At 36.7% G+C, this 27,102-nt stretch overlaps 1 protein-coding gene across 2 annotated transcripts in view; it reads left to right on the plus strand.

The window, feature by feature from the left end:
- The window catches only part of DNAAF6 (dynein axonemal assembly factor 6), a 37,637-nt gene extending 11,145 nt beyond the window's left edge, over positions 1 to 26,492 (plus strand). For both annotated transcript variants that reach the window (NM_001169154.2, NM_173494.2), the window contains 4 exons: positions 1,109 to 1,214; positions 4,990 to 5,086; positions 21,167 to 21,252; positions 25,414 to 26,492. In NM_001169154.2, the coding sequence (NP_001162625.1) occupies positions 1,109 to 1,214; positions 4,990 to 5,086; positions 21,167 to 21,252; positions 25,414 to 25,543 (419 nt within the window). In that variant the 3' untranslated portion in view covers positions 25,544 to 26,492. The remainder of the gene's footprint in view (positions 1 to 1,108; positions 1,215 to 4,989; positions 5,087 to 21,166; positions 21,253 to 25,413) is intronic.

Genomic DNA, 27,102 nt, shown 5'->3' on the forward strand with positions numbered 1-27,102 from the left:
ATTAATCTGGACAAATGTTTAAAATAATGGCTAAAATGAGGTCTAAGGATGGTTTTAAAATTTCAGTTATTATTGCTATACATACTCAAGAGGCTATTTGCCTTACCCAAGAGATATTCGCTCCATGGCAGTCTAATTCACATTTCATGTATTTCTGTGCTGCCTGTATTTCTGATAATGTAGGTCTAATAATCTTTAAATTCTGAAGGCAATGATTCATATGTAAAATGTTATATATAAATCTGTAGTTAGGCTTTACAAAGCCCGTGCTAGATAGAAGCTGATCATTTCAAAAGAATTGCCAGAATTGAAAACCTAACAATCGGGTGCATTTCTGGGAATGCTTAAAATGACTCAAAGCAGTGCTCTGCACCTAATGCAGGTCTCCACCGGATGCTACAATAGTTAAAACAAATGTGAGCTGGGTTTTTGCATGCCTACTGGAGCCTATCCATTTTTAAACATTTAAAGATGACATGCAGAAACCCAACCTCATGCTCAGCTCTGCATGAGGAAAATGCTGGACTAAAAAATGATCATTGTATCCACTGCTTTCAGTTTCTTTAATTGATATTATTGAGAATTATGTCATGCTTGCATGGAAAAGATATCAAAGCGTTTTTATATAGTAAAAACAATGCAAGATAAGACATTTCTCTCCACATCAGATTGATTGTAGTTGTAATTTTTTCTTTTATATAAAAATATTTTTAAATATAATCCTATTTATGTTTCTGGAAAAATGTGTAATATTTCTTTGCATATGTATATGGAGAGAGAGAGAGAGAGAGACTGGAATGATACACAACAGAATACTAACATTGATTATCTCCAGGCAGTTGGATTGTAGATTATTTTCTTCTTTTTGTTTATGTTTTTGCCAAATTCTCTACAGTTGTTATTAAAATTCTACAATGTATTGGTTCTGTATTGATAGAAACATTTAGTCAGTAGTTACTAATTTAGTTTGTTTTGATCAAAAAAAAAAGCTAGCGATTACAAATAATGTTTTATTTCAATGAACCCAAACTGAGTGTGAAGAAGAACAGGAGCAATTTAGAGAAGGAAAAAAGCATGAGCTTCAGCTTTATCTTCCCTTTCTTCACAGTCATCCCTGAAACCAGCGAGGAAAATAATGAGGACATCTGGAATTCAGAAGAGATTCCAGAAGGAGCAGAATATGATGATATGTGGGATGTTAGAGAAATCCCAGAGTAAGTCAAATGAAGCCAGGAATGTCTTTAGGAGTTTAAGTTAGCTGTGTCATCTGATAACATTTTACTTTTTACAAGATTCATAAAGTAACATACCACATAAAAGATAAAACTACAGTGACACACGGAAGGCATGTGTAATTGATTATTTTTTTCCTTCTAGAGCAGAAACAAATAATAAAGCATAACACCTTCCTTTCAGTTACTATCTAGCAAAAATGAAAAATATAGTCATTTCCATTATAAATTTATATTTAATGTCAATTTGTTGTATAATGTGGAACTAGCAGTTGGAGAAAGCCAGCCCATTAAATTGCAAGCATTCATACAAACTAAATTACAATGCCATGTTTATTTGTCAAGCACTTGCTTTTAATTACTCAATGTTCCACAATTTCGGTAAAAGGCTATGTTCTCTCTCCAATTATCAATTATTACCCAGACTTGTTTACTAGATATTCTAAGATTATATTTAGTGTTCAGTGTATTTTGCAAGCAGGGTTCAAGACTTGCTTTGTAGCCTTTTCAATACAATCAAGTTGTAAATATGAAATTTAGAATTATTATAAAAAGCCTTTTATTCTGATTTTAAAAGCACTCATACTTTTAAGAACCTTAAAATATATTTATATACATAGATTAAATTATTGGTCAAATAGACTAAGCTTTACATATGTGTATTTTGAAATAAAATTTGGATTGACTATTTAGAATAGCAGGAAAAATAAAGCCAACACTTACTAAATTATAATGTACTATATAAATTCTTAAAGACTTCTATGGCAAGTGATCTGACAACTTTTCTAATACTGAATACAAAACTATCCAGTATTTTTTTTTTTTTTTAGACAGAGTCTTGCTCTGTCGCCCAGGCTGGAGTGCAGTGGCACAATCTCTGCTCACTGCAACCTGCGCCCCTCCTGGGTTCAAGCAATTCTCCTGCCTCAGCCTCCCATGTAGCTGGAACTACAGGCACCTGCCACCACGCCCAGCTAATTTTTGTATTTTTAGTAGAGACGGGGTTTCACCATGTTGGCCAGGCTGGTCTGGAACTCCTGACCTCAGGCAATCCGCCCGCCTCAGCCTCCCAAAGTGCTAAGATTACAGGCATGAGCCACTGCGCCCAGCCAAAATTGTCCAGTATAAAACAAGCAAATAAACAAAAACTCCATGCTTCTGCCTTCTACATAAGTTCTGAAAACAGAAGCAGTGGGAGACTGCAGACAATTAACTAGAAAGAAGTATCCAGCTTTCAAATAAACAATGTCAAGACCATAAACCTCATAAAAAATCAAAGGAGATTTTAAAACATTTCTTAGAGAACGAAGAGAGTAAATTTGAAGTTATGTTTATATAGTGTCCACGTATCATATGAAAAGTAATAATTAAGTCACTTATTTGTCATATTGTCTAACAAATGTCAAATATCCATATGCAGCAAACTTCAAATTTGAGTAATTTTTCCCTTTTCATCCTGATGTTTGATGTTAGGTAGATAGAACATCCATGAAAGCTTTAAATGAATAATAACTTCAGGTTATTATGAGGAAAATTGCTTTATAAGATTTTAAAAATCTTCATCTTCTACCTTATGAAAATACATTTCAACATTTCTCAGTGGATGCAGAGGAAAATAGGTAAAGAACATGAACAGGCAGTTCAAAAAAGAAGAATCACAAGTGGCCAAGTAAAAGAATAACAAGGAGCTGAGCTAAGGCACTGGCCTTGGGGAGAAGTATGAGGGTCTTTATTTGAGTGAGTTTTGGATGAAGAGTTGGTATTTGGTTAGATAAAATGGATGAGAGGAGAGCGTCAAAGATGATGCTGAAGTTATTAGCTTGGGTGACTGAGGAAATGATAATGCCATTAACTTTGATAGGAATTATAGGTTAAGAAGAAGCAGTGAGTTTGTTTTTGTTTTCTTTCTTTCTCCCTTTCTTTCTTTCTTTCTTTCTTTCTTTCTTTCTTTCTTTCTTTCTTTCTTTCTTTTTCTTTCTTTCTTTCTTTCTTCCTTTTTTCTGAGACAGAGTCTTGCTCTGTCGCTCAGGCTGGAGTGCAGTGGTGTGATCTCGGCTCACTGCAACCTCTGCCTTCCGGGTTCAAGCGATTCTCCTGCCTCAGCCTCACAAGTAGCTGAGACTACAGGTGCATGCCACCAGGCCTGGCTAATGTTTTTTGTGTTTTTTGTAGAGACGAGGTTTCACCAAGTTGGCCAGGCTGGTCCTGAACTCCTGGCCTCAAGCAGTCCACCTGCCTCAGCCTCCCAAAGTGCTGGGATTACAGGCCTGAGCCACAGTGCCCAACCAAATTTGTTTTTTTTCTTCGCCAACCACCGCCCCCCCGGCCCCGCCCATTGTTCACTGCAGCCTCAACCTCCCGGGCTCAAGCAATTCTCCCACCTTACTCTCCCAAGTAGCTGGGACTACAGGTGCACACTTTATTTTTGTGAAGACTGCGTCTAACCGTGCTGCCCAGGCTGGTCTCAAACTCCTGGACTCAAGCAATCTTCCTGCCTCAGCCTCCCTAAGCACTAGATTACAGTTGAGAGCCACCATGACTAGCTGGTTTTTGATATGTACACTTTGAGTTGTCTTTGGGACATCCAGGCAAACCTTTGTAGTAGACAGTTGGAAAATTGCGTCTGGAGCTCAGGATAAGAGCAGGAGCTTGAGCAAATCCATTAGGAGCAATGAACATATAGATCAATCCTCTGTTTGTTTTAACCTGGCTTCACCTTCATAAATAATTGGTAGATGTTATAGCCTATTAAGAGAAAAGTGCCCCATAGCAAATAGCTGCTTATTGTTAGCCATGTTCAAACTCAGAGAAATCCCTTTTTTATTTTTGGGCATTCCTATTGGCAAATGGTCAGAAGTTCAATCAAGTCCTTTAGTCTTACTATCCAGAGATCTACAATTTCTTCATTAAGGTAGCATTAAGCATAATAATAATAATAATAATAATAATAATAATAATTTGTAAATATTTGTTTCATTCTATCTGAAGAGATGGGGTACCTTGTGGTGGGTGCTTCTATAAACCATTGTATTCCTGGAGGCCCAAATTTGGAGGGAGGAATGATTTGTGAATTGTCATGTGTGGGGTGAAATATCAGGAAAACCTTTCATTACACTCAGAATTCTGTAAGACTAGATTCTAAGCACTATGGTGTAGCTGTGCTGACTACATTACCAGTGTTTCTATTGTAGAATTTTAGCCGTGGAGATCATTCAGTTCAAACTCACCCCTCCCTCCCATAAATCATACAAATGTAGAAACTGAGACCCCATGAGTTTGTGACTTGACCAAGGTCCACAGTTAATGACAGAAACAGTACTAAACCTGAATTTTCTCCTCTGCTCTGTGGTTTAAACTTGGCAGAGGAAGGTTTCTATCAATCCCTAGGTTATGGACTCAGTATTTTTCTGAGCTATTGTTTTTCAGGAACAGACTTTCCTTTTTTTTCTTCTGCTTTTAATCTTATTAGAATCTTATTACAAGTTCCCTCAATCTATTTTATTTGTCTAGCTCTGAAACAGTTAAAGCTTTATTTTAGAAAATAATAACAATCCTGCCTTTCAGTGTTTATTTTGACCACATTTCTAGACTTCTTTTCCTTTATGTTCTATTATATGCCTGAAGACCTGCAAGCACTTTATTTGTTTAGTCCTTTTATTTTACCTAATAGCATATCCTCATAAGTTACTAGTTTTCTTTTCTGTGACAGGAAATTGCTCTTTCATCTGAGTCCCTATAATCATTGATTTTTTTTCAGGTATGAGATTATATTCAGACAGCAGGTGGGAACTGAAGATATATTTTTAGGGTTGTCAAAAAAGGACTCCTCAACAGGTTGTTGCAGTGAACTAGTGGTAAGCCTCTCCTCCCCTTCTTCATTTTCTATACAACCATTGTAGCTAAATTGACTGACTATTATTTACATAATATTGTAGGCAAGGTTGTAAACTCTTTAAAAATCGTGGTTGCTATGTTTCACGTACTAGGGTAACAATGGGATAGACAGTTTAAAATTGTTAACTTGTACAAAATAAACTAAGTTTACACATTTGGATGAGATTTACAAATAAACATAATGGAATCATATGACACAATACACAATTTCTATTTTTATCCCTATTAAAACTTCCCAATTGGATTGGACTGGATTTTCTTCCATCCTAGTTCCGTCCCATGCATGCCAACTGATTGGTTATTAACTTATGATGAATTGACAGGCAATCAGAATGAAGTATCTCCTTCCCCGCATCTGTCTTATCTCTTATTTCTGTATTTCTCGTAATGACTCAGCTTACAATGTGGGACTTAAAAAGGGATTTTCTTAATTTTGGGATCTGACTTCTGATTAAAAACACTAAGAAAGACATCTAAAATGTTACTTTGCTTTCTTATCTGAATGACGCTACCGAATGTTGGAGAGCATCCTTTACCAGGTCACTGTTTCTGTATAACAGTTGTGGCAATACCAACAATATCAATGATACCACCTTACTTTTGCTTATTTCATCCTGATAATGACCTTGTTGAAAAATCTGGGCCTAACCCAGAGTGTGGAATTTGATTCATTTTAGCAACATTAACAAGTAATTCTTGTGTTAAAATTTTATTTTTTGAGATCAGGAACTTTGCTTCTATTTTTTTTCCTCCTTTCTTACAATACATTATAGAATACCATGGTGCCCATGGGAGATGTGTAATATTTTTTTCTTAAGCAAATGATAAATGGAATTTCTCTTTTGCATGAACTTCAGGTTTTCTCTTATTAGCAAAATCTAAGACATTCAATTCAATCAAGTAACATAATGGGAATAGTGGCTTTAAGTACCTCAGGAGATTTTTCAAACTCTAATGAGTTATGCTTTCAAGTAATCTTGAAGTAATTAGCTCCCAGGGTTTTACCAGTAATATTCAAATTCCTCTCTTTTAAATTATTGTAAAATTGTGTTTTTGATGTGTAATGTTGGGGATTGCTCTAAATTCTGGAGGAATTCTAGGCCCTAAATAAATAAAACTGTTGCAAGCCTTACAGTTTATCTCATGCAAAAATTGCCACTAGTTTTAATAATAAAGGTATCCTGAATGAAGAATCTTGGAAACTAAATCATACCTCATAATAGGAATATATGGTTTATCTAAAACTCAATAAGTATATACAGAAGACTTGATATTTCTCTCAAATGAATTTATAATCAACTGGGGAGACAAAACTAACATAAATGAACCAATTTTATTATTAAGAATTAAACTCAGTGTAAACAATTATAAGTCGAATAGAAGTTCAGAAGGTTGGGATAAGTCATGGACACCACTGAAAGGCAGCAGCAAATAACACATTTGTTGATACTGTGGCACTTTGTCACGTGTATACTGTTCCTTTTCTCTTTCTTTCCTTTATTTCTCTTTGTTTCTTCATTTATTACATCTTTAAATACTTAGTGAATGTTACTACATACCAGGGACTGTCCTAAGTACTAGAGATACAAAAATAAATGATAAACAATCAATTGTCCTCAAGGAATTTACAGTAAAGGAGATTGACACCTAATAAATCACTGCAGTTCAGTATGGTAAGTACATATTTAGAGGCAAACACCATGAACAGAATGATGGTTACCAGAGACTGGGAAGGGCAGTGGGCAGTGGGAGTTGGAAATGTGGGGATGGTTAATGGGTACAAAAATATAGTTAGATACAATAAACACGATCTAGTATTTGATAGTACAACAGAAGGATAACAGTCAGCAATAATTTGTTGTACATTTTAGAGTAACTGAGGGAGTACAATTGGAATGTTCATAACACAAAGAAATGGTGAATGATTTAGGTGATACAAACCCACCCCATTTACCCTGATGTAATTATTATACACTGTATGCCTGTATCAAAATATCTCATGCACCCCATAAATATATTTTCCTATTATGTACCCATAAAAATTAAAGATAGAAAAATAAAGACATATATCAGGTACATAGTGACATAAAGCAGGAAGAGATCAACTTCAAGTGGATAATATTACTACAGTGGACAACATTCTAAAAAGGGCATTCCAAGCAGAAGTAAGAGCACGTGGAAAGGTATCCAGGCATGAAATAGCATGGCATATTTGAGTAAACAGAGAATATAACAAGAATAAAGAGTAAGTGTCGGTAATAATGGACTAGTAAGCTGACTCTCAAAAAAGATAAAAGCTTGTAGCTTTTATTTGTAGCTTGAATGTTATCCTGTAGGCATACTAATGATGACATCCACTATCATTGCTTACTCCACTGACAAGACTCAGAGTAAATAGGTTGTTGAGCCCATCTCAAGTATTTCTTGCTCAAATGTATATGCTTATCATTCTTCTTGATAATATGGTGTTTCCTTGAATCTAAGACATCATAAAATTGTAAATGTGCCATTTATTTAACAATAACAATGTTTCAGAGGAAAATAGTTATAATGCCATATTATACCACCATTGATTGTGCAGTTCGTCTCAATATCATAAACATTAAAATGTGGGGAAAATTGTACCTGAGAATTGCCTAAATATGTTATTTGTGTCCTGGACCTGGTCTATATGTAACAATCCAATCCAAAAACTTTAAGAAAAAATCCTTACTTAAACCGAGTAAGGCAATAGGAGTACAATCTGTTTACGTACAAGAAGTGATTTGGGGTTTAAAAATTCACAAGGACCATCCTTTCCTTTACCCTCCCCAGACTCCAAATAAGAAAGCAAGATTTATGAATCCTAAATCAAAGCAACGGTCCTAAACAAAATTATGAATTAGGAATGTCTTCAGCAAACCCTTCGAACCTCAAACCCAAAGAGCCCCATTAACCAAACACTCCCTGCCCTATTGTTATCCTCTGCAACTGCTTTACTCCTGAGTTTGTAGCCACCAAGTTTCCCTTGCCTTAATCTATATTTAGGTATTTTAGAGCTAGAGCTAGCCAGTGGTTTACAGGTTTGTTTTGTTTTGTTTCTAGCTCTCAAGCTTTTTTCTTTCCAAATAAAATTCTATGAGTAAGCCCAGTGTAATAAACATAAAAAGTACCACTGCCTTGTTTAAGAAGGTACTATCACCCATGAGGCAGCTCTTAGGAGAATGGCTGAGGCTCCTTGGAACACAGTTAGAAAGATGCTGATCTAATTTCTCATCCTGATATTACAGTTGATAAACTAAGGTCAGGCTTACAAGGTTTCAAATACTCATATACATTAATGGAAGAATAATAAGAAATCTAGAGGGCTTCTTTTTCCTTGGTGACATATATGCTTTTCTTTAAACCCCACGAGTGGAAGGCCCTAGCTTATTTCATTTTGTTTTGGTTGTTTTTCTTTTTATCCTCTAGCCATATTCTCCATCCCTCTCCCCAAAGCTCTCACTGTAATGGGTGTGATATTAGGTTGGTGCAAAAGTAATTGCAGTTTTGCTATTGCTGACTACTGGTTATTGCCAGACTGACTGAAGTACTGGACCTCTTGGGTGCCAGCTGAGGAGCATGGAAAAAAGAACTATAGGTATAAAAATATGTAGCAAGATACCCTAATTCTCCATAGGATTATTTGTGGCAGGAAATGGGATGGGTGTATTGGAAAAATAGGTCAGCAGATTCTCATTTTCACCCATGGTGCCAAAATCCAAAAATGAATGGGCCTAGGGTTATTGGTATTCTGCCAAATTACCCTTTGTTTGTTCTAGGAGAGGGGAAAGGCAGCTTGCAGATAGCTTGATGCTCTTTGACCTAGAATGAACACATATTTTGATGTTTTACTTTGATAGATCTATATTGATAAGGCGACATTCTGATATGACCCAAGAAACAAGCCACTAAGCCTATTTTTTCCCAACATCACCTCCTCCCTAGGATATGATTCTTCCCCCATCTTTAAATCTCACTGAGAATGGGATGAGAGTCAGGGATGGGATAGAAGTCAGTCACCATCTGGCAGGCAGACACAACCAGGAGTCACATGTTTATCATACATATTTATCTCAGAAAGTGCTATCAATCATTTTGAGCAAAGTATTTGCTCATCCTCTAAGAATTCACTTGCTTCCTGAATGGTCTGCTCTTCAAATCCTGATTTCTTTCTTAAGGTTAAAACAGTTATATTTGTTTACTTTTTTATTTTTTGAGACAGAGGCTCACTTTGTTACCCAGGCTGGAGTGCAGCCTCAACTCACTATAGCCTCGGCCTCCCAGATTCAAACAATTCTCCTGATTCAGCCTCCCGAGTAGTTGGGATTCCAAGCATTTACCACCAAGCCCGGCTAATTTTTGTATTTTTAGTAGAGATGGGGTTTCACCATGTTGGCCAGGCTGGTCTCAAACTCCTGACCTCAGGTGATCCACCTGTCGGCCTCCCAAAGTGCTGGGATTACAGCCGTGAGGCACCGTGCCTGGCCTATATTTGTTTACTTTTAATGAAAAAATGTATTTGGCTGCTTGATAATGAAATAGGTTTTGTTCTCCATTCTATTCCCCTCTAGAGGATGGACCTAGTTTTTTTTTTTTGGTAGGCTTCCTGATTATGTTAACCTTGTTTGATTGGTTGTATACCAGACCATGTGGCACAGGGAAGGATATCTGATCTGTACTATGATTCCTTATTGTCAGTTCCAGGCAGCACAGTAAACCTTCACTTAAATTTCTAATCGCTGTCTCAGTAATATATTCATAATATATACATTTATAGTTAATGTCATAACACTCCTTCATAATGATGGTGGTTGTGGGACATGGTAACAAATACTTCCTTAAAAGCTAATCTAATCATATAGACAGTATATTTCTGATTATGGAAGTAATATATATGTAAAATTTTAAGCAATACCAAAATTAGTAGAGTTGATGATAAAAGTCCATCATAATGAGATGGAGAAAAATTGAGAGAGAGAGTGTGTGTGTGTTTGAAATAGGCTATGGTCAAGGATGGAATAAAGGTAAAAGATGTCATATACATATTACTTCATATATGTATCAGTAATTTTACATTTTGATGATGTCATTTTGAGGTTTCATCAAAATATCTGAATCACATGGTCTGGAATCCTTGAGCTGGACCTGGCAGAAACTCCCGATTCCATGCAAGCAGATTCACAGATTGACCTTGGAAATTACCAATACTTGAGGGATCAATAAAGGTAGAGGAACTGAGAAGGATATTCAGAGATGGGAGGGAAACCATAGTAGTATCCGCTGCTGTCAAGCAGGATTAGGATGCAGAAAGAACTTTGAGATTTGTCAGTTAAGAAGTCTTTGGTGATCTTTGGAAGAGAGCAGCTTCAGTGGCATGGCCAACACCAGATTGAAGAAAGCTGAGAAGTGAAGAGGAAGTGAGGAAGAGAAGCCAGCAAATATAGATTGTTCTTTGAGGAAGTTTAGTGGTGAAGAGGAGGAGAATGAGGAAATGATTTTTGAGAAGGAGGCAGGATTTAGGGGAGTTTTTTTAAGACAGGAGAGATTTATGTATGCATTTCAGCTGATGACAAGAATCCATGCATTCATCCATGTAATATTTATTTAGTTCCTACTGTGTGTCACTAGAGCTAATGAACAAACAGTAAAAAAAAAAAAGTAGTCATGGTGTGGGCCCCTAGGTGGAGGCATTTTTGGTTGTCACAATGATTACAGAATTTTTTGTTTTTTTGAGATAAGGTCTTGCTCTGTCACCCAGGCTGGAACGTAGTGGCTTGATCTCAGTTCACTGCAGCCTCAACCTCCTGGGCTCAAGCGATCCTCCCACTTCAGCCTCTCTGGTAGCTAGGACTACAGGCATGCACCACAATGCCCTGCTAATTTTTCTTTTTTATTTTTTGTAGAGACAGGGTCTCATTATGTTGCCCAAACTGGTCTCAAACTCCTGGGATCAAGCAATTCTGTCACCTCGGCCTTCCAAAGTGCTGGCATTACAGGCATGGGCCCCCATGCCCAGCTGATTACAGGATATTATTGTCATTTAGTATTCAGGGCCAGGGTTGCCTTAAATCTTGCAATAAGAGGTATAGTCCTCAAGAATGAAGAGTTGTCCTACACAAAATGCCCATATTGCTTTCCTCTAGTTTAAAAACACTGATTAGATAAAGAGGGATTGAAGATATGAGGGTGCTGCTACTCAGCAGCATTCCACCCTGTTGACTACTCTTTTTTTTTTTTTTTTTTTTTTTTTTTTGAGACAGAGTCCCGCTCTGTCGCTCAGGCTGGAGTACAGTGATGTGATCTTGGCTCACTGCAAACTCCACCTTCTGGGTTCAAGCTGTTCTCCTGCCTCAACCCCCTGAGTAGCTAGGACAACAGGCACGCGCCACTACGCCTGGCTAATTTTCATATTTTTAGTAGAGACGGGTTCCCAGGCTGGTCTCCAACTCCTGGCCTCAAGTGATCTGCCTGCCTCGGCCTTTCAAAGTGCTGAGATTACAGGCATGAGCCACCGCACCCGGCCTGCTCTCTCCTTGAAACACAGTTTTCTCTTTACTTTAATGACCCCATTCTCACTGAGGAGTGAGGAAAGACTTCACTCTTTTCTTCCGAAATCACTAGGCATTCCTCCTCTCTTTCACTCCCAAATCACTGGCTCTTCCTATTCTGCCTTAAGTTCTCTGGAGATTTGACCTATGTCTTTTTTTTTCTCTACCTATTCTCTTTTCACCTAGTCTCATAGCTTTAAATATCATTTATCTCTCTAGTCCTGAACTCTCCCATGGGCTTTGGATTCATATAACTCTTTTAACTCTCGCTCTGTCACCCAGGCTGGAGTGCAGTAGCGCGGTCTTGGCTCACTGCAAGCTCCACTTCCCGGGTTCACACCATTCTCCTGCCTCAGGCTCCGGAGTAGCTGGGACTACAGGCGCCCCCCACCACGCCCGGCTAATTTTTTGTATTTTTAGTAGAGACGGGGTTTCACCGTGTTAGCCAGGATGGTCTCGACCTCCTGACCTCGTGATCCGCCCGCCTCGGCCTCCCAAAGTGCTGGGATTACAGGTGTGAGCCACCACCCCCGGCCTCATATAACTATTTACTTGCCATCTCTTACTTGTTTAATAGACAACTCAAACCTAACATGTCTAAAACAGAACTCTTAATTGTCTTCCATAAACCTTTTTCTCATTCATCTTCTTTGTGGCAATAACATTCACCCAGTTGCTCAAGCTAAAAACCTAAATCAGCCATCATTCCTCTTTCCTTTATACCTCATGTCTAATCCATCAGCAAGTATTACTGGCTGTACCTTCAAAATATATTCTAAATCCATCTAATTTTCATTACCACTGCAATTGCTATCATGTTACTAACGATCATCATCTCTATCTGGACCATTCTGACGAGTCTCTAATGACATTATCTCCCTGCTTTGACTCTTCCTTCCCTATAGCCTTTCCACACAGAGTGTAAGAGTTCCTTTTTAAAAGTAAGTCAAGGCCAGGCACAGTGGCTCACACCTGTAATTCCAGCACTTTGGGAGGCTGAGGCGGGTGGATCACCTGAGATCAGGAGTTCGAGACTAGCCTGGCCAACATGGCGAAACCCTGTTTCTACTAGAAATATAAAAATTAGCCGAGCATGGTGGTGCACTTCTGTAGTCCCAGCTACTTGGGAGGCTGAGGCAGGAGAATTGTTTGAACCTGGGAGGCAGCAGTTGCAGTGAGCAGAGATCACGCCATTACACTCCAGCCTGGGCGACTCCGTCTCAAAAGAAAAAGTAAATCAGACCATATCACCTCTTCGCTTACAGCCCTCAATGGCTTCCTGTTGCACTTACAGAACAAAATCCAAACTCCTTATCTTAAAAGTAGGGAAGGGCCCCGTGTGATCTGACCCTTACCTACTTTTACAGTTTCATCCAATGTGACACTTTCTTCCTTGTTTGTTATGTTCTGCTTATCCTGACCTTCTTTTTGATCCTTCAATATGCCAAGTTATTTCCCGATTCCTTGTTATTCATTCCACCTGGGTATTCCACCTAGTCCCTCAGATAATGAAATTTTACTTCTTCCTTTCCAATCATTTTAACCTATTTCTTGTTTAATTGCATGTTAGTACCTCCAGAACTATATTATGTAATAATAGTGAATACTGAACTTTATTTCTTATTTCTCACTTTAAATTTTTAAAAATTAAAAAAATATGAGTACGTAATAGAGATACACTATTCAGCCATTAAAAAAAGAGATCCTGTCATTTGAAACAACGTGATGGAACTGGAGATCATTATGTTACGTGAAATAAGCCAGGCACAGAAAGACGAACATCACACTTTCTCACTTATTTGTGGGATCTAAAAATCAAAACAATTGAACTCATGGACATAGGGAGTAAAAGGATGGTTACCAGAGAATGGGAGTGGTCATTGAGGGAGGGGAAGTGTGGGGTTGGTTAATGGGAACAAAAATATAAATTTCTCACTTTAATTGGAATGGTTCTAGTGTTTCTTCATTTAGTTAGATACTGATTTTTGGGGTATGTGTTAAGGATCTGTTCATCTATTCTGATTTTAAGAGTTCTAAGCAAGAATAGATGATGAATTTAATCAAATGCCTTTTTACCATTTGTGAAGATCATATGATTTTTTTAGTTTTTATCTATTGGTAAATTATATTAGCAAATTTCTTAATATGGAACCATCCTTGCATTCATTCATTCAGTCAACAAATATTTGTTGAGTGCCTATGATTTGCCACTAAGTATTTTATGAAAACTCTCATTAACAATGATAAGCTGTAGGAAAATGAAAAAAAAATTAAAGGTGATGGGTCTCTGTTTTGAAATTATAAAAATATTTACCTCTGAAGTATAAAAATGTAGAGGTATGTATTGTCCAAAACCAGGGCAAAAAACCAGTAGGTCATCTTTTTAAATTGATAGATAAATTTCTTTTTTTTCTTTTTGTTTTTTGAGACAAGGTCTCACTCTGTTGCCCAGGCTAGGGTGCAGTGGTGCAATCTTGGCTCACTGCAACCTCCACCTCCTGGGTTCCAGCGATTCTCCCACCTCAGCTTCCTGAATAGCTGGGATTACAGGTGCATGCCACCACACCTGGCTAATTTTTGTATTTTTTCTAGAGATGTGGTTTCACCATATTGGTCAGGCTGGTCTCAAACTCCTGACGTGAAGTGATCCACCCACCTTGGCCTCCCAAAGTGCCAGGATTACATACATAAGCCACTGTGTCTGGCCAGATGGATAAATTTTGATAATGCTACCACTTTGAAACAGTCCAGTACTATATTACCATACCTGTCTTTTTAAAAATAGTTTATAGATGCATGACTCCTCTCCCATCACAGGAGTCAAGAGTCCTCAGAGGCCTCTTGTGGCTTTCCACAACTTATTGTCCCATATTTTTATGGCCAGTTCATGCAGGCACCCCATAAACCTTTTTCCCAACATATTACCATACCTGTCTTTTTAAAAATACTTCATAGATGCATGACTCCTCTCCCATCACAGGAATCAAGAGATACTGTTCTAAGTATAGAGGATAGCATAGTAAACAAAACATAAACATCACTGCCTTCACAGAGCTTACCTTATTGTGGAAGAGATAAATAAAATAAACACATAAATTGTATTGTACATTAGAAGGTGAAAATGCTCTGAGGAGAAAAGGAGGAGGAAGTGATAGGGCATACTAGAGTTGGTGGTGGCTGAAATTATTAATAGTGTGGTCACGAAAGCCTTCACTAAGAAGGCAATATTTGAGCAGACACCTGAAAGAGATGAGGAAGTGAGGTTCCAATGTTAGAAAGGGTTTTGTTGTTGTTGTTGTTGTTGTCATTTGAGACAGGGTCTTGCTCTGTCACCCAGGCTGGAGTGCAGTAGTGTGATCTTGGCTCACTGCAGCCTTGATCTCCTGGACTCAAGTGATCCTCCCACCCCAGCCTCCCAAGCAAATGGGAGTACAGGCGCGCACCACCATGCCCAGCTACTTTTGTATTTTTTGTAGAGACGGGGTTTCGCCATGTTGCCCAGGCTGGTCTTGAACTCCTGAGCTCAAGTGATCTGCCCATCTTAGCCTCCCAAAGCACTGAGATTATAGGTGTGCACACCACACCCACACTAGAAAGGTTAATCTAAGTGAATATTTAAAACTCCAAGATTTAAGACAGGAGGTAATCTTAGAAATATCAATAAAGAACAAGTAACTATTCTTAGAGAAATCAGGGGAAGTGTCCCAGGAATTAGTAAACGATTCCAGCAAGATGGGTAATAGGTGGTATCGTGTAAGAACATGAGTTTTTACGTTGTATATGTTTTAGGTGTACAACATGATGTTTTGATATACATATTCTCAGTAAAGTGATTACTACAGTCAAGCTAATTAATGTATTTATCATCTCAGGTAGTATCTTTTGTGTATGTGGGGGATAAGACCACCTAAAATCTACTCTTAGAAGAGTTCCACTACTTGGTATAATATTAACTATAGTCCTCATGCTGTACCTTAGAGCTCTAGATTTATTCATGCTAAATAACCCAAGTTTGTATCCTTTGACCTGCATCTCTTCATCTCCCACCCCACCTCTAGTAACCACCATTCTTCTCTCTATTTCTATGTATTAGATATTTTTTAGGTTCCACATTTAAGAGAGATCATGCCGTATTTTTCTTTCTGTGTCTGGCATTTTTCACTTAGCATAATGGAGGACATGAGTTTTTTTTTTAACTGGAAGAAAGGGACAGGCCCAGTGTTATAAAGGAAATAGGAGAGAAAAAAAAACTGGCGCCAACTGAGAAGACTATAGGGGAAGCAGTGTAATTGGGGAGATCCAGATTTCAGTTAGATTAAGAAGCTGAGAATATTCAAAGAGGCTAAAGAGATAAGGGATGATGTACTATGTATTCCAGAGGACCTAATGGAAAAGGCTCAGGATTTGATGAGGGATGGAAAATGGAGACATAATAGGAGATATGAAGATCCATATGGTAGTTATGTGATAAGGAATGATTTGGGAGTCTGAGACTTCTTGTGGTTATTGACAAATAGAGTTAAAAGTATAATGAATTTAGTTCTGGTGGTCTCAAGACAGGTAGTGGTGGTGAGGCTATGATTATTTTGGGGGAGAGGGTGAGTGCCAGTGGAGATGTGGATGCCTGTAGATGAATGTTCTTACTGCAGAGTGAGTTGACTCCTGTGGTGGAGAGGAGGTATGCATCTATGAAGCATTTTTAAAAAGACAGGTGTGGCAATATAGTACTGGACTGTTTAAAAATGGTAGCATTATTGAAATTTATCCATCAATTTAAAAACATGACCTATTGGGCCTTTGCCCTAGTTTTGTACAATACATACCTCTATATTTTTATCCTTCAGAGGTAAATATTTTTATAATTTCAAAGCAGAGATCTAATGCCTTTAATTTTTTAAAATTTTCCTATAGATTATCATTCTTCATGAGAGTTTTTATAAAATACTTAGTATGGCTGCAGTGGAAAAAAATATCTTATACATGTTTCTGTAGTTAAACAATGGGAAATTAAACAGTTGAAGCAATTCAGAATGAAATCTACCCAAACTTTTTCTGTTAATCAAAATTTCCTAATATTGTTAAGTTTCAAATGGGAACTCAAATAGCCTTCTTTCCTAAGAATCAAATGTGTGAGGAGTGGTTTCTGTATTTCTGTCAAATGGAAATATTCTTATAATATCTAGAACCCATAAATAAATTAATTTAGAATATCTTCCAAAGTGTCAGTCCAAACCCTCCAGTGAAGCAGCTTCACTGAAATATCAGTAAATAGTGCTGGTCAAGTTACATATATTTTTTACTTATTCTTATCGTGGTGATGAAGTGACAGTTCAAGAGGAAACCTAGAATGGATGACCTCCATGAAACACCTGCTATTTGGACTTCTCTTGTCAATTTTCAAACATCTTATAATATAATTGTAGACATTTATCTGAGGAGCTGAGAAGCCTGTTAATCACTTACAAATTATATGACCTTTCAGGAACCATCTTGTCATACACATCTCTCATAAGAACACGACAGGAAAGAAGAGATTTGAAACTCACAATAATAATCACTCAATAATGACTCCCTAGTAAGTCAGCTCTCTTACAGCACATAGAGGACAATAAATGAAGGCCAAGGAAAACGATTTGCAAGCACTTTAACCTTCCTTTACCTCTCTTGAGGGAAGCCTCAAAGTAAATTCCCAGAGAGAGACTGAGTAGTTTTTACTACTTGCCTGAAGAGAAGCTGAAAGTGGGAAGAAGGGATCTCACAAACCTTAAATTATGGGCTTTTTTCCTGTTACTTTTTATTTATAAGGACAGAAGGCAGATATTTGAAATAAAGTTAGTGATGGATACTGGGGTAACCAGCTTCCAGCATGGCACCCAATAATTCTCACCTCCAGATATTCTTCTCTTTGTGTAGCCCCCTCCCACATTGAGTAGGGCTGACCTGTATAACTAATAAGATTTTTTTTAATGAAAAAGTGTAATCTATGAGGCTACATTCTAAAAAAGGCATTGCTTCTGCCTTCATCTTTTGGATCCTTTACTCTGGGGAGAATACAGCTGTTGTATCCTAAGGACACTCAAGCAACACTATGGAGAAGTCCATGTGGTGAAGAGCTGAGGCCGCTTACAAACAGCCATGTAAGTGAACTATCTTAGACACAGATCCCCTAGCCCTAGTCAAACCTTCAGATGTCTACAACCACAGCCAACATCTTGACTACAGTCTCATAATAGAGCCTAAGCCAGAACCATCTAGCTAAGCCATTCCCAAATTCCTCATACACGAAAACATGTGGCATAATAAATGTTTATTGTTGTTTTGAATTATAAATTGGGGGGGGGAGGTATAATTTGTTATGCAATAATAGATGACCAGTAAACAATAAATAATAAGTGGCTGGGCATGGTGGCTTACACTTGTAATCCCAGCACTTTGGGAGGCCAAGATGGGAGGATCACTTGAGCCCGGGAATTTGAGACCAGCCCGAGCAATATAGCAAGACCCCATCTCTACAAAAATAAAAATAAAAATAAATTAGCCAGGTGTGGTGGTGCACACCTGTGGTCCCAGACACCCAGGACACTGAGTCGGGAGAATTGCTTGAGCCCAGGAGGTCGAGGCTGCAGTGATCCATGATCACACCACTGCACTCCAGCTTGGGTGTCAGAGTGAGAGCCTGTCTCAAAAATAAACAGTTAATTTTTAAAAAGTAACAGAACCAGAATTTAAACCTAAGTTTGATTCCAAAGGTTGAGTTCTCAGAAGGTTAAAAGTTTCCCAATGAATTTTTAAAGTTTTCCTTAGTTTACCTGTTAAAATAACTTATTCTTTAAAACAAATTCAATTTGCACCCTATGTAAAGAAAGGAACATCAATCCCTTTAAATTGTTTGGTCAGTGACATCATCCTATATTTACTAATGTTTAACAAGTTAGGTCTTGAGCGCAATCAGTTAGAGGTCAATTAATATCCATGTCTGTATTCCAGGTATTTGTTTTAAAGTATTGCTGGAAAAATCTCATGCATGTGTCAGGAGTTGTTTTTCTATTAAGATTCCTCATTGAGTCTTCTGTCTTGCAAGATATTAATGTGTGCGATTCCACCTAATTTGTCCCTTCTCTTGTCTCTTCTCTGAAACCACTGTAGTATATAATTTTAATTTCCTTAAGAAGAAAAATTAGTGAGTTGTTTCTGAATTGCCCTTCACTAGAACAGCAAATGATTTTAAGAACCATTTTAAAGTTCTACCCAGAAATTGTATCTATTTTTGTCTTTCTCAATTGGCATTTTAACCCTGGAAAAATAATATTTTGCCATGAAAATTCTAAACATTTCAGACTAAAGAAACAAATATTTGTATCTCTTCTTTGAGGTGACATGAGTTAACATGTGACGTTAAAGATCTCAATTTGACTATCAGACCTGAGTATTAGAGTAAAAATGGGTGGGACTTTCTTTGTCGAATAGAATGCCTATTTACTTTGAGGCAGAGCACCTGTAACTACCCCCTGAGAACTGTACGTCTCTCACTTGAAGCATCTCTGATTATGAAGATCCAAATTTTCAAAATATAAATTAGGAGGCAATTTTTTGTTGAATGAAAATGTTAACCGTAGTATTTAGATAGTAGCACCTGTAGAGCTCTATTTACAAATCTTTGTTTATATACAGATTTAATAAAGTAAAATATAACTCACAAGCATGTATTGCTCCAAACACATTATATTGCAAAAACACAACTGCCTACTTTAAGCTTCTTACAAGAAATCTCAATTTGTCGCATTATTTATTTGATATGTATTTTCCTCATAACTTACTGCTTTCCCTCTGGCCATTAGAGCCATGAATTCACCAGATGTTCAATATTTCAAGTCTTCTATCTCATTTTACAGAAAGCTTCATAATTTACCTGAACCTTGGGCTGCATTTTCTTCATTTCTTTGTTTATGGAAACCATATGCCATGCTATCCTATATATAGACATCAACTTCCATCAGAAAGAGAAAGCATGTAGAGAGTAAGAGATAGACTTTGTGTTGTGGTAAAAATACACATAGTATAAAATTTACCATTAGTGACATTTAGTATATTCACGATGTTGTGCAACCATCACCAGTATCTAATTCCAGAACACTTTCATCAGTGCTAAAGGAAACACCATACCCATTAAGCAGTTACTTCCCTCTTCTCCATTTCCGCAGCCCCTAGCAACCACCAATCTCTTTTCTGTCTGTATAGATTTGCCTATTGTGGGCCGGGCGCGTGGCTTACCCCTGTAATTCCAGCACGTTGGGAGGCTGAGGCGGGCAGATCACAAGGTCAGGAGATCGATACCATCCTGGCTAACACGGGGAAACCCCGTCTACTAAAAATACAAAAAATTAGCCGGGCGTGGTGGCACGCACCTATAGTCCCAGCTACTCTGGAGGCTGAGGCAGGAGAATTGCTTGAACCTGGGAGGCAGAGGTTGCAGTGAGCCGAGATTGCCCCACTGTACTCCAGCCTGGGCAACAGAGCGGGACTGCGTCTCCCACAAAAAAACAAAACAAAAACAAAAATTTGCCTATTGTGGACATTTCATATAAATAGAATCCTATAATATGTGACATTTTGTCCCTGGTTTCTTTCACTTAGCATAATGTTTTCAGGATTCATCCATATAACAGTACTTTACTCCTTTTTATGGCTGAATAATATTCCATTGTATGGATACAACACATTTTGTTTTTTCCATTCATCAGTTGATGCACATTTGGGTTGCTTACACCTTTTGACTGTTATGAATAGGGCTCCTATAAGCAAAAACATTATGTACATGTTTTTGCTTGAAAACCTGTTTTCAGTGCTCTTGGGTATATACCCAGGAGTGGAATTGCTGGGCCATGTGGTAATTGAGATGAAACATTTAAAGTGAAATCTTACTAAACCAATATGTTGTCCTTTTGGGGAGGTGGGAGTCATATTGTTATTTCTCTTTTGTTTTGATAACATAACACCTGAACTCCCACACCTCCCTAGAAAATGTGGTATGGAAATTTATGCCAGAAGACTATTAGATGGCATCACCAACTCATACCCAACATGAGAACTAAACTTTTTTTATACAAATTGCCAACTGATATAAAGGCAGTTGAAGGTCCCCAACTCTAACAGGTGTACTACTATGTACCTTCAGAAAATGAAGGTTACAGTCAAGTAACCAAAGTGTTTCTGTATAGCTTTGGAGCCAGAAACCTTAGTCAGATTACAGGAGGTTGCCCTTGGGCCACTCACTAAATTTCTCTGTTGTAGTTTCTCCATCTGTAAAATGGGGATAATAATCTCTGCTGCTCAAGATTGACATAAAGATAGGGCATAGCCTGGCACATAGTTGACAATAAATATTAGTCTCTTTTCCCCATATATTCTTATATTCTTCAAATTAATTGCTCTCCAAGATATCACTATTTTTCTTCTCATTTTCTCTTTCAGGCTAAAATTAAATTGCCAAATACAAACCCTTCTGATATTCAAATTGATATCCAGGAAACAATCCTTGACCTTCGTACTCCTCAGAAGTGAGTAAAACTTAGAACTGGAATAGTGTATTATAATATTAAAGAGTCTTCAGTCAATATTATTTTTTAAAATGTACAGTTATTTTGTATCACCCCTAAAGTCTGAAGAAAAGTGGAAAATTTTGTATTCAGATGTTTGATCTACATTAATATAAACATAAATATGTTTGGAAATACTTGGACTTTTTTCTACTTTGCATCCGTGCATTTGGAGTGGGTTAATGCTATTAAAACACAATTCTTGACACCCAGATGCAGTTTATCTATCAGAAAAAATAACTAGAAGTGAAAATGCCATTAAGTTGTAAGTCTTATATGTGGTTTTTGTACATTGATTACATAAGGGAAGCAATATCTTTATACTTTTGTCATTTTGTGGGGCTGTAAGGTTAAATTTGAGTGTTTTCATTTAAATCAACAAAAAGATCTTGCCATCAATTACTATCTAAATACCTCACTGCTTTGTGCACATCTTATCTGGATATAGAGCAGTGAGCACATACTGGTTCACTGCAATGGTCCTAACTCTGTAACTCATGAACATTTCAAACTGGATTTGGGAGGCAGGCAGTTGCTGGCACATTTTCTTCCTTCCATTATCAGTACCTATAATTCTCCTTTGTTGAGCTTAGGACTTCAAGAAAATGACAAGAAGATCCTTCATACAAAAGATTCCTATGTGTAAACAACCCAATATGCATATGTAGCTTAATCTTGGCTTCTATAGTAAATGCATTTAACCCAAAATGGTCTACAGATAAATATATATCAAATGTTTTCTTATTATTTACATCATTTCAAAAATGTATCCTCACAGAACAATCATCTCATGTTATAAAAATTATATTCACTATTTCTGCTGTTTACTTCAAGGAGTATTGTACCCTTTTGTTGCATTTTATACACGAATTTACTCTTCCACATAACCTTTACAAGGAAAATTGGTTAAATGAACAATCTTCCAAGATATTTGCAAGCTTGTTAAAAGCACACACATGTCTACACACCATGGGGTTAATTTCCGTTTCCCTAGCAGTTCTCACTGTCTGTGAGACTTTCATTTAGTGGATTCTGATGGATATCTGTAATGACGGCACAGCCATAGCAGCTACCTAAAGATTGATGGAGACAGCAGAAATACTGAATACAATTTTTATAACATGAGATGTTTGTTCTGTGAGGATACATTTTGGATTAAAAGTACTTTCCCACATAGAACATGGGCTATACACTAGGTCCTTTGGATCATAATGTACTTATATATTAAATGCGCAGTGCAGAGAGGTACCATCTCAAGAAAACCTGCTTAACTAAGATAGAAGACAGAAAATATAATTAAGGATTTTATCATGTTTCCTAAATACTTGAGAATCCTTTAGAGCCATGCTTTTCTCTGAAATTGCATTATCGGGAATGTGTCTTGTTTTCGAGTTTATTGATATTCACACCTACTTTCTTTAGTTTCTAACTTTGACATCATATAACGCTATGTTTATCCAATCTGAGAAAGATTTGAGAGGGCATTCTGTTCTTGTATCTATAAGGCAGAAACAAGCGAATTTATTTTAACTGAATTGACCAGTGGTTTCTGTCAAACAATAGTCAATTTCATTCGAATTACCAATAAAACCCAGGTATTTACCAAAATAAATAAAGCAGTTTACCAAATTCTTCACTTTTTTCAATTGGTTGTTTTGGCATGTAGATACCCAACATGGAGTAAATGGAGAGGAGGAAAGACGGAGAAAATTGGATAATTTACGGGGATCTCTTAAGTCTTCATATGAGATTTCATTATTTTTCTAAGTGAATTCTAAGAATTTCATAAATGAATACCTTGAATGTGATAATAATAACACATTCTAAAGACAAATGTAAGCTAATTTTTGGTTGAGTGCTGCTTTAGATTACTCACACATTTGCTGTGCTCCTTTAGTTTGGATTGGGAATTGACTGATTTTCAAAGACTGATAGCTAAAAAAGAAGTTTTCTAAATGAAATAGTTGAGTTGCAGCTCAGTAGCTATTTCTGCACTTTCTTTGAAAATAGTTATGTCTCCTTCAGTAAACCTTAAAAAGGTTTTTAACCCAGATATGTAAGTCAAATAATTTTGTTAATTATATAAGATAAAAATTTCATTATGCGAATATGCTGGGAACCAGGATGTCCTTTGCTTAAATCTCTTGTGAGCAACATCAACTTAAACTCTCTAATATAAGTATAAGCATGTAAGTCTCTAAACTTGAGTTCACTGTAGAGATTTTTTTTGTATTTACATTCATGTATTATTGTTTGCATTTAATTTCTAATGAAAATTAACACTGGATGAACCTTTGATCACTGCCTAGACTGTAACTTCTGAAAATGCAAATACATTGTCAATGTAAAAGTAGAGGTATTGGGTTTAAATGTTTGTTCATATCTTATAGTACTAATCTATGGTAATTATTCAAATGTTATTTTGTGGTGACCTGAATACTTGCTTCATTTATTTACTCACTCATTCATTTATTTATTCACTCAACATTTATAAAGTCTTCCACTAGACACTAAGGGAGCACCAAGATAAGATACATTAATGTCCTTCCATGAATTGTACATGGATAAGTATTTGGAGAATTTTTATTTTGTTTAAATATAAATCTCAGTACAGATAATAAGACAGTAAAACAGACGACGAAAATATTTCCCTTCTCCTAAGAGCCTAAATCAGTTGTACAGTTCTACTGTTCAACATTTTATTATGTGAAGCCATACTACTTAGAACTACACAGAAATGCAGGCGTAGATGGATCATTCCAATGGCCACTAACTGTCTCTTTTGAATTTATTTCTCTCTGGACAGAGAAGTGCACATTATCATTGGAACTCCTTCTTCAGCTGATTTATAGTTGTCTTTTAGTGCAACGAAGCTACCATACTAAGCTTTGCTTTCTTTTAAAAGTGAATATATTATCATTTATTGAATAAAGTATAAAGGAAATCTAAGTCTAGCACAACCTATATAGTAAACAGATTTAAAGGATGGACTCTACACGGTTTTTGCACTCACTTTTTTTTTCCTGAGATGCCAAATATTACAGTCTACATTAAAATGCATTGCCACTACGTTTGGCAACGTATTCAGGCGAAGTGTTTTTCCTACCCCACATGGAATGGAACAAGAGTCACAGAAAATTTATCCTTCAGGTTCCATAAATGTGTAATAAATACTTTTAATGAACCCAGTCTTCTGAACTCAGGTTTTTGCAAAGGAATAAAGAAGGAATTGATTTTCAAGGGTTTTGTTTTCAAATACATACTAGTTCTCAATTCAAGAACCCAATAAGTGCCCCTAAAAATACCATATTCCTTTACTTATTTGGATATTATACCTTCTAAAAGAGCATCCTGTCCACCTTTTATAGAGATACTCAGACCTTCTCTACTGAAAATGCGAGGTAACAAGTGTTTCATGCATTTAATTTTCTTCCAAAACCAGCATGTGCTGACCCCGTGCATAATTTAGATTCATGCCAATATGGCAGAATTATGGATGTCTCATCCCAGCAATGCATCTAAAGCATAAAACTATCCAGCAACTGAACTATAAACCACAAAATAAACCTAGCAATCTATCACAGGGAATTTTTGTCAATGTGTAAGTAGAAAGAATCAGAAGCAAGGAGAGAGAAGCACTTTCATTGATTTGGTATTGAAATCATTCCCAGCCTCAGTTTCAAAAACTACACCTGTGGTAGAGACTCTGCTTAAATCTATGTTAGCAGAAGTGTCATAGAGCCATTCCAATTTTCAAATTTGTATCCGTCGGCCACATTGCATCTATACATAAGTATGAGTGGCAACAGATCTGTCCAGCAAACTTAAAAGTTGCATAGTTCTATTTCTATGCCTGTAAACATAGCCTGAGACTATGTAAAATGAGGTCAATTCGGAGAAAAATAGGGGCGCCAAAACAACTGCTTGGATTTTTAAGTCCAGAAAAACTGGTATACTGTTTGTGTTATTTAGGCATATTTTTGATCCAATATTTACACTATCTAAATATTGGGGGGGGGTTGTTTTCTAACACTCTAGTGGCATATGTTGTTTGCAATTGTCTTATTGAAAGTGATACATCATTTTAGGAAGCTAAGGTTTTATTTTGTTGTTTTTTTTTAGGAAGCTGTTGATAACTCTTCCTGAGCTGGTGGAATGTACCAGTGCCAAAGCATTCTATATCCCAGAGACTGAAACTCTTGAAATCACTATGACTATGAAAAGAGAGTTAGATATTGCTAATTTCTTCTGAAACTGCATGAAAAAGATAAAAAGTAGTAAAATGGCATTGGTAACAATTAAAAAACTTTGAAAAAAATGATTGTTTTCTATATTCTCTTTATTATTCTGACATATTTTTGAAAGGGACAAAATTCAGTTCTAGTGATATTGTGACCATTTACAGTAATTTCTATTACTCTGTTAGGAAATATGTTTCCTTGGCCAGGTGCAATGGCTCATGCCTGTAATCCCAACACTTTGGGAGGCCGAAGCAGGCGGATCACTTGAGGTCAGGAGTTTGAGACCAGCCTGGTCAACATGGCGAAACCCTGTCTCTACTAAAAATACGAAAATTAGCCTGGCGTGGTGGCAGGTGCCTGTAATCCCAGCTACTCTGTCTCAAAAAACAAACAAAAAAAGGAAATATGTTTTCTTATGTAAATAAACTATTCTATTTTTATAGTGATAGCTGAGTAGAATCTTTACAGGTTAAAAAATTAGAATATTTCATGGTCAATTACATAATTGAAATATGATCATGAAATGGTTGGTCCACTTACTTCAGTAGTCTGAAAAACTTATGCTAATTATTTACATTTACACTGTGATACAATCAGTTGCATAGCAATTGGTCATTATTATTACCAGAGAATTTTATTTGGTTGCTTTTTCATTGATTTGAGCAAATGATTTACAGTGTTCTCTGTTTAGGCTCTCACTGTTGTTCTGGAATATACAGGTAATAAATAGTTTGATGTACCATACTATCAACATATTTACTTGAGTAAGGAACACTTTTGTGCGTACAGTATTATTTGGCTTCTTCAGTTGTGCTTTTAATGCTTGGATATAGTTAGGTTAAAAACATTTTTTATATGCACTAATAATTATTAGCATTGCCTTTTTGGGTACTGTATTTATATGTAGTCAATTGAAATCCTTGACTTTAAAATAAATTTAAAGTGTGGCACATTTACAAATCCTGTTTGCTCTCATTTCCTATCTTTCTTCTTAAATAGACATATCTCTTTTAGGAATTGTCTCAATGTCCCCTCCTTCTTCTATACTGTATTGCATATGTTTATTTTGGAATTATTTATGAATACATTATAAAGCTTGTGTGACTTGGCTTCATACATTATTTTAGAACTGTGGAGTTACCAAGGAGTAAATTTTGAAAAGATGAACAATGAAAAGATGTTCATCACTTCTATATGAACTATTAAGGGAATAAATAGCAGATATTTTCTAGAGTTAATTATATATATACAACTATGAAGCATCTAGTTTGTGACTAGATGAAATGATGAAATAGAATGAAAAGACTGAGATTTTGGAAAAAAAAATGGTTGTGTTAGAACACTAAGCTCTTACAGAGAATTTGACATTTAAGCTACCAACACGACTTTCTTCTATGGGGGCAAAAGTTGAGGGTGGGATTAGCTGAAAGGAAGCTAGTGTCTGTGAGTTTAGGTCCATGATGTTACAGGACCTAAAGAGCATCATACTTTGCTTTTTTAGCATCTTTTTAAAAGGCTATATTTTAAGAATTTAAGTTGATGCCCCAAATTTAAGCTATGGGGCAAGTCT

Source organism: Homo sapiens, chromosome X (genome assembly GCF_000001405.40).
Source record: "Homo sapiens chromosome X, GRCh38.p14 Primary Assembly".
NCBI classification, from domain to species: Eukaryota; Metazoa; Chordata; class Mammalia; order Primates; family Hominidae; genus Homo; species Homo sapiens.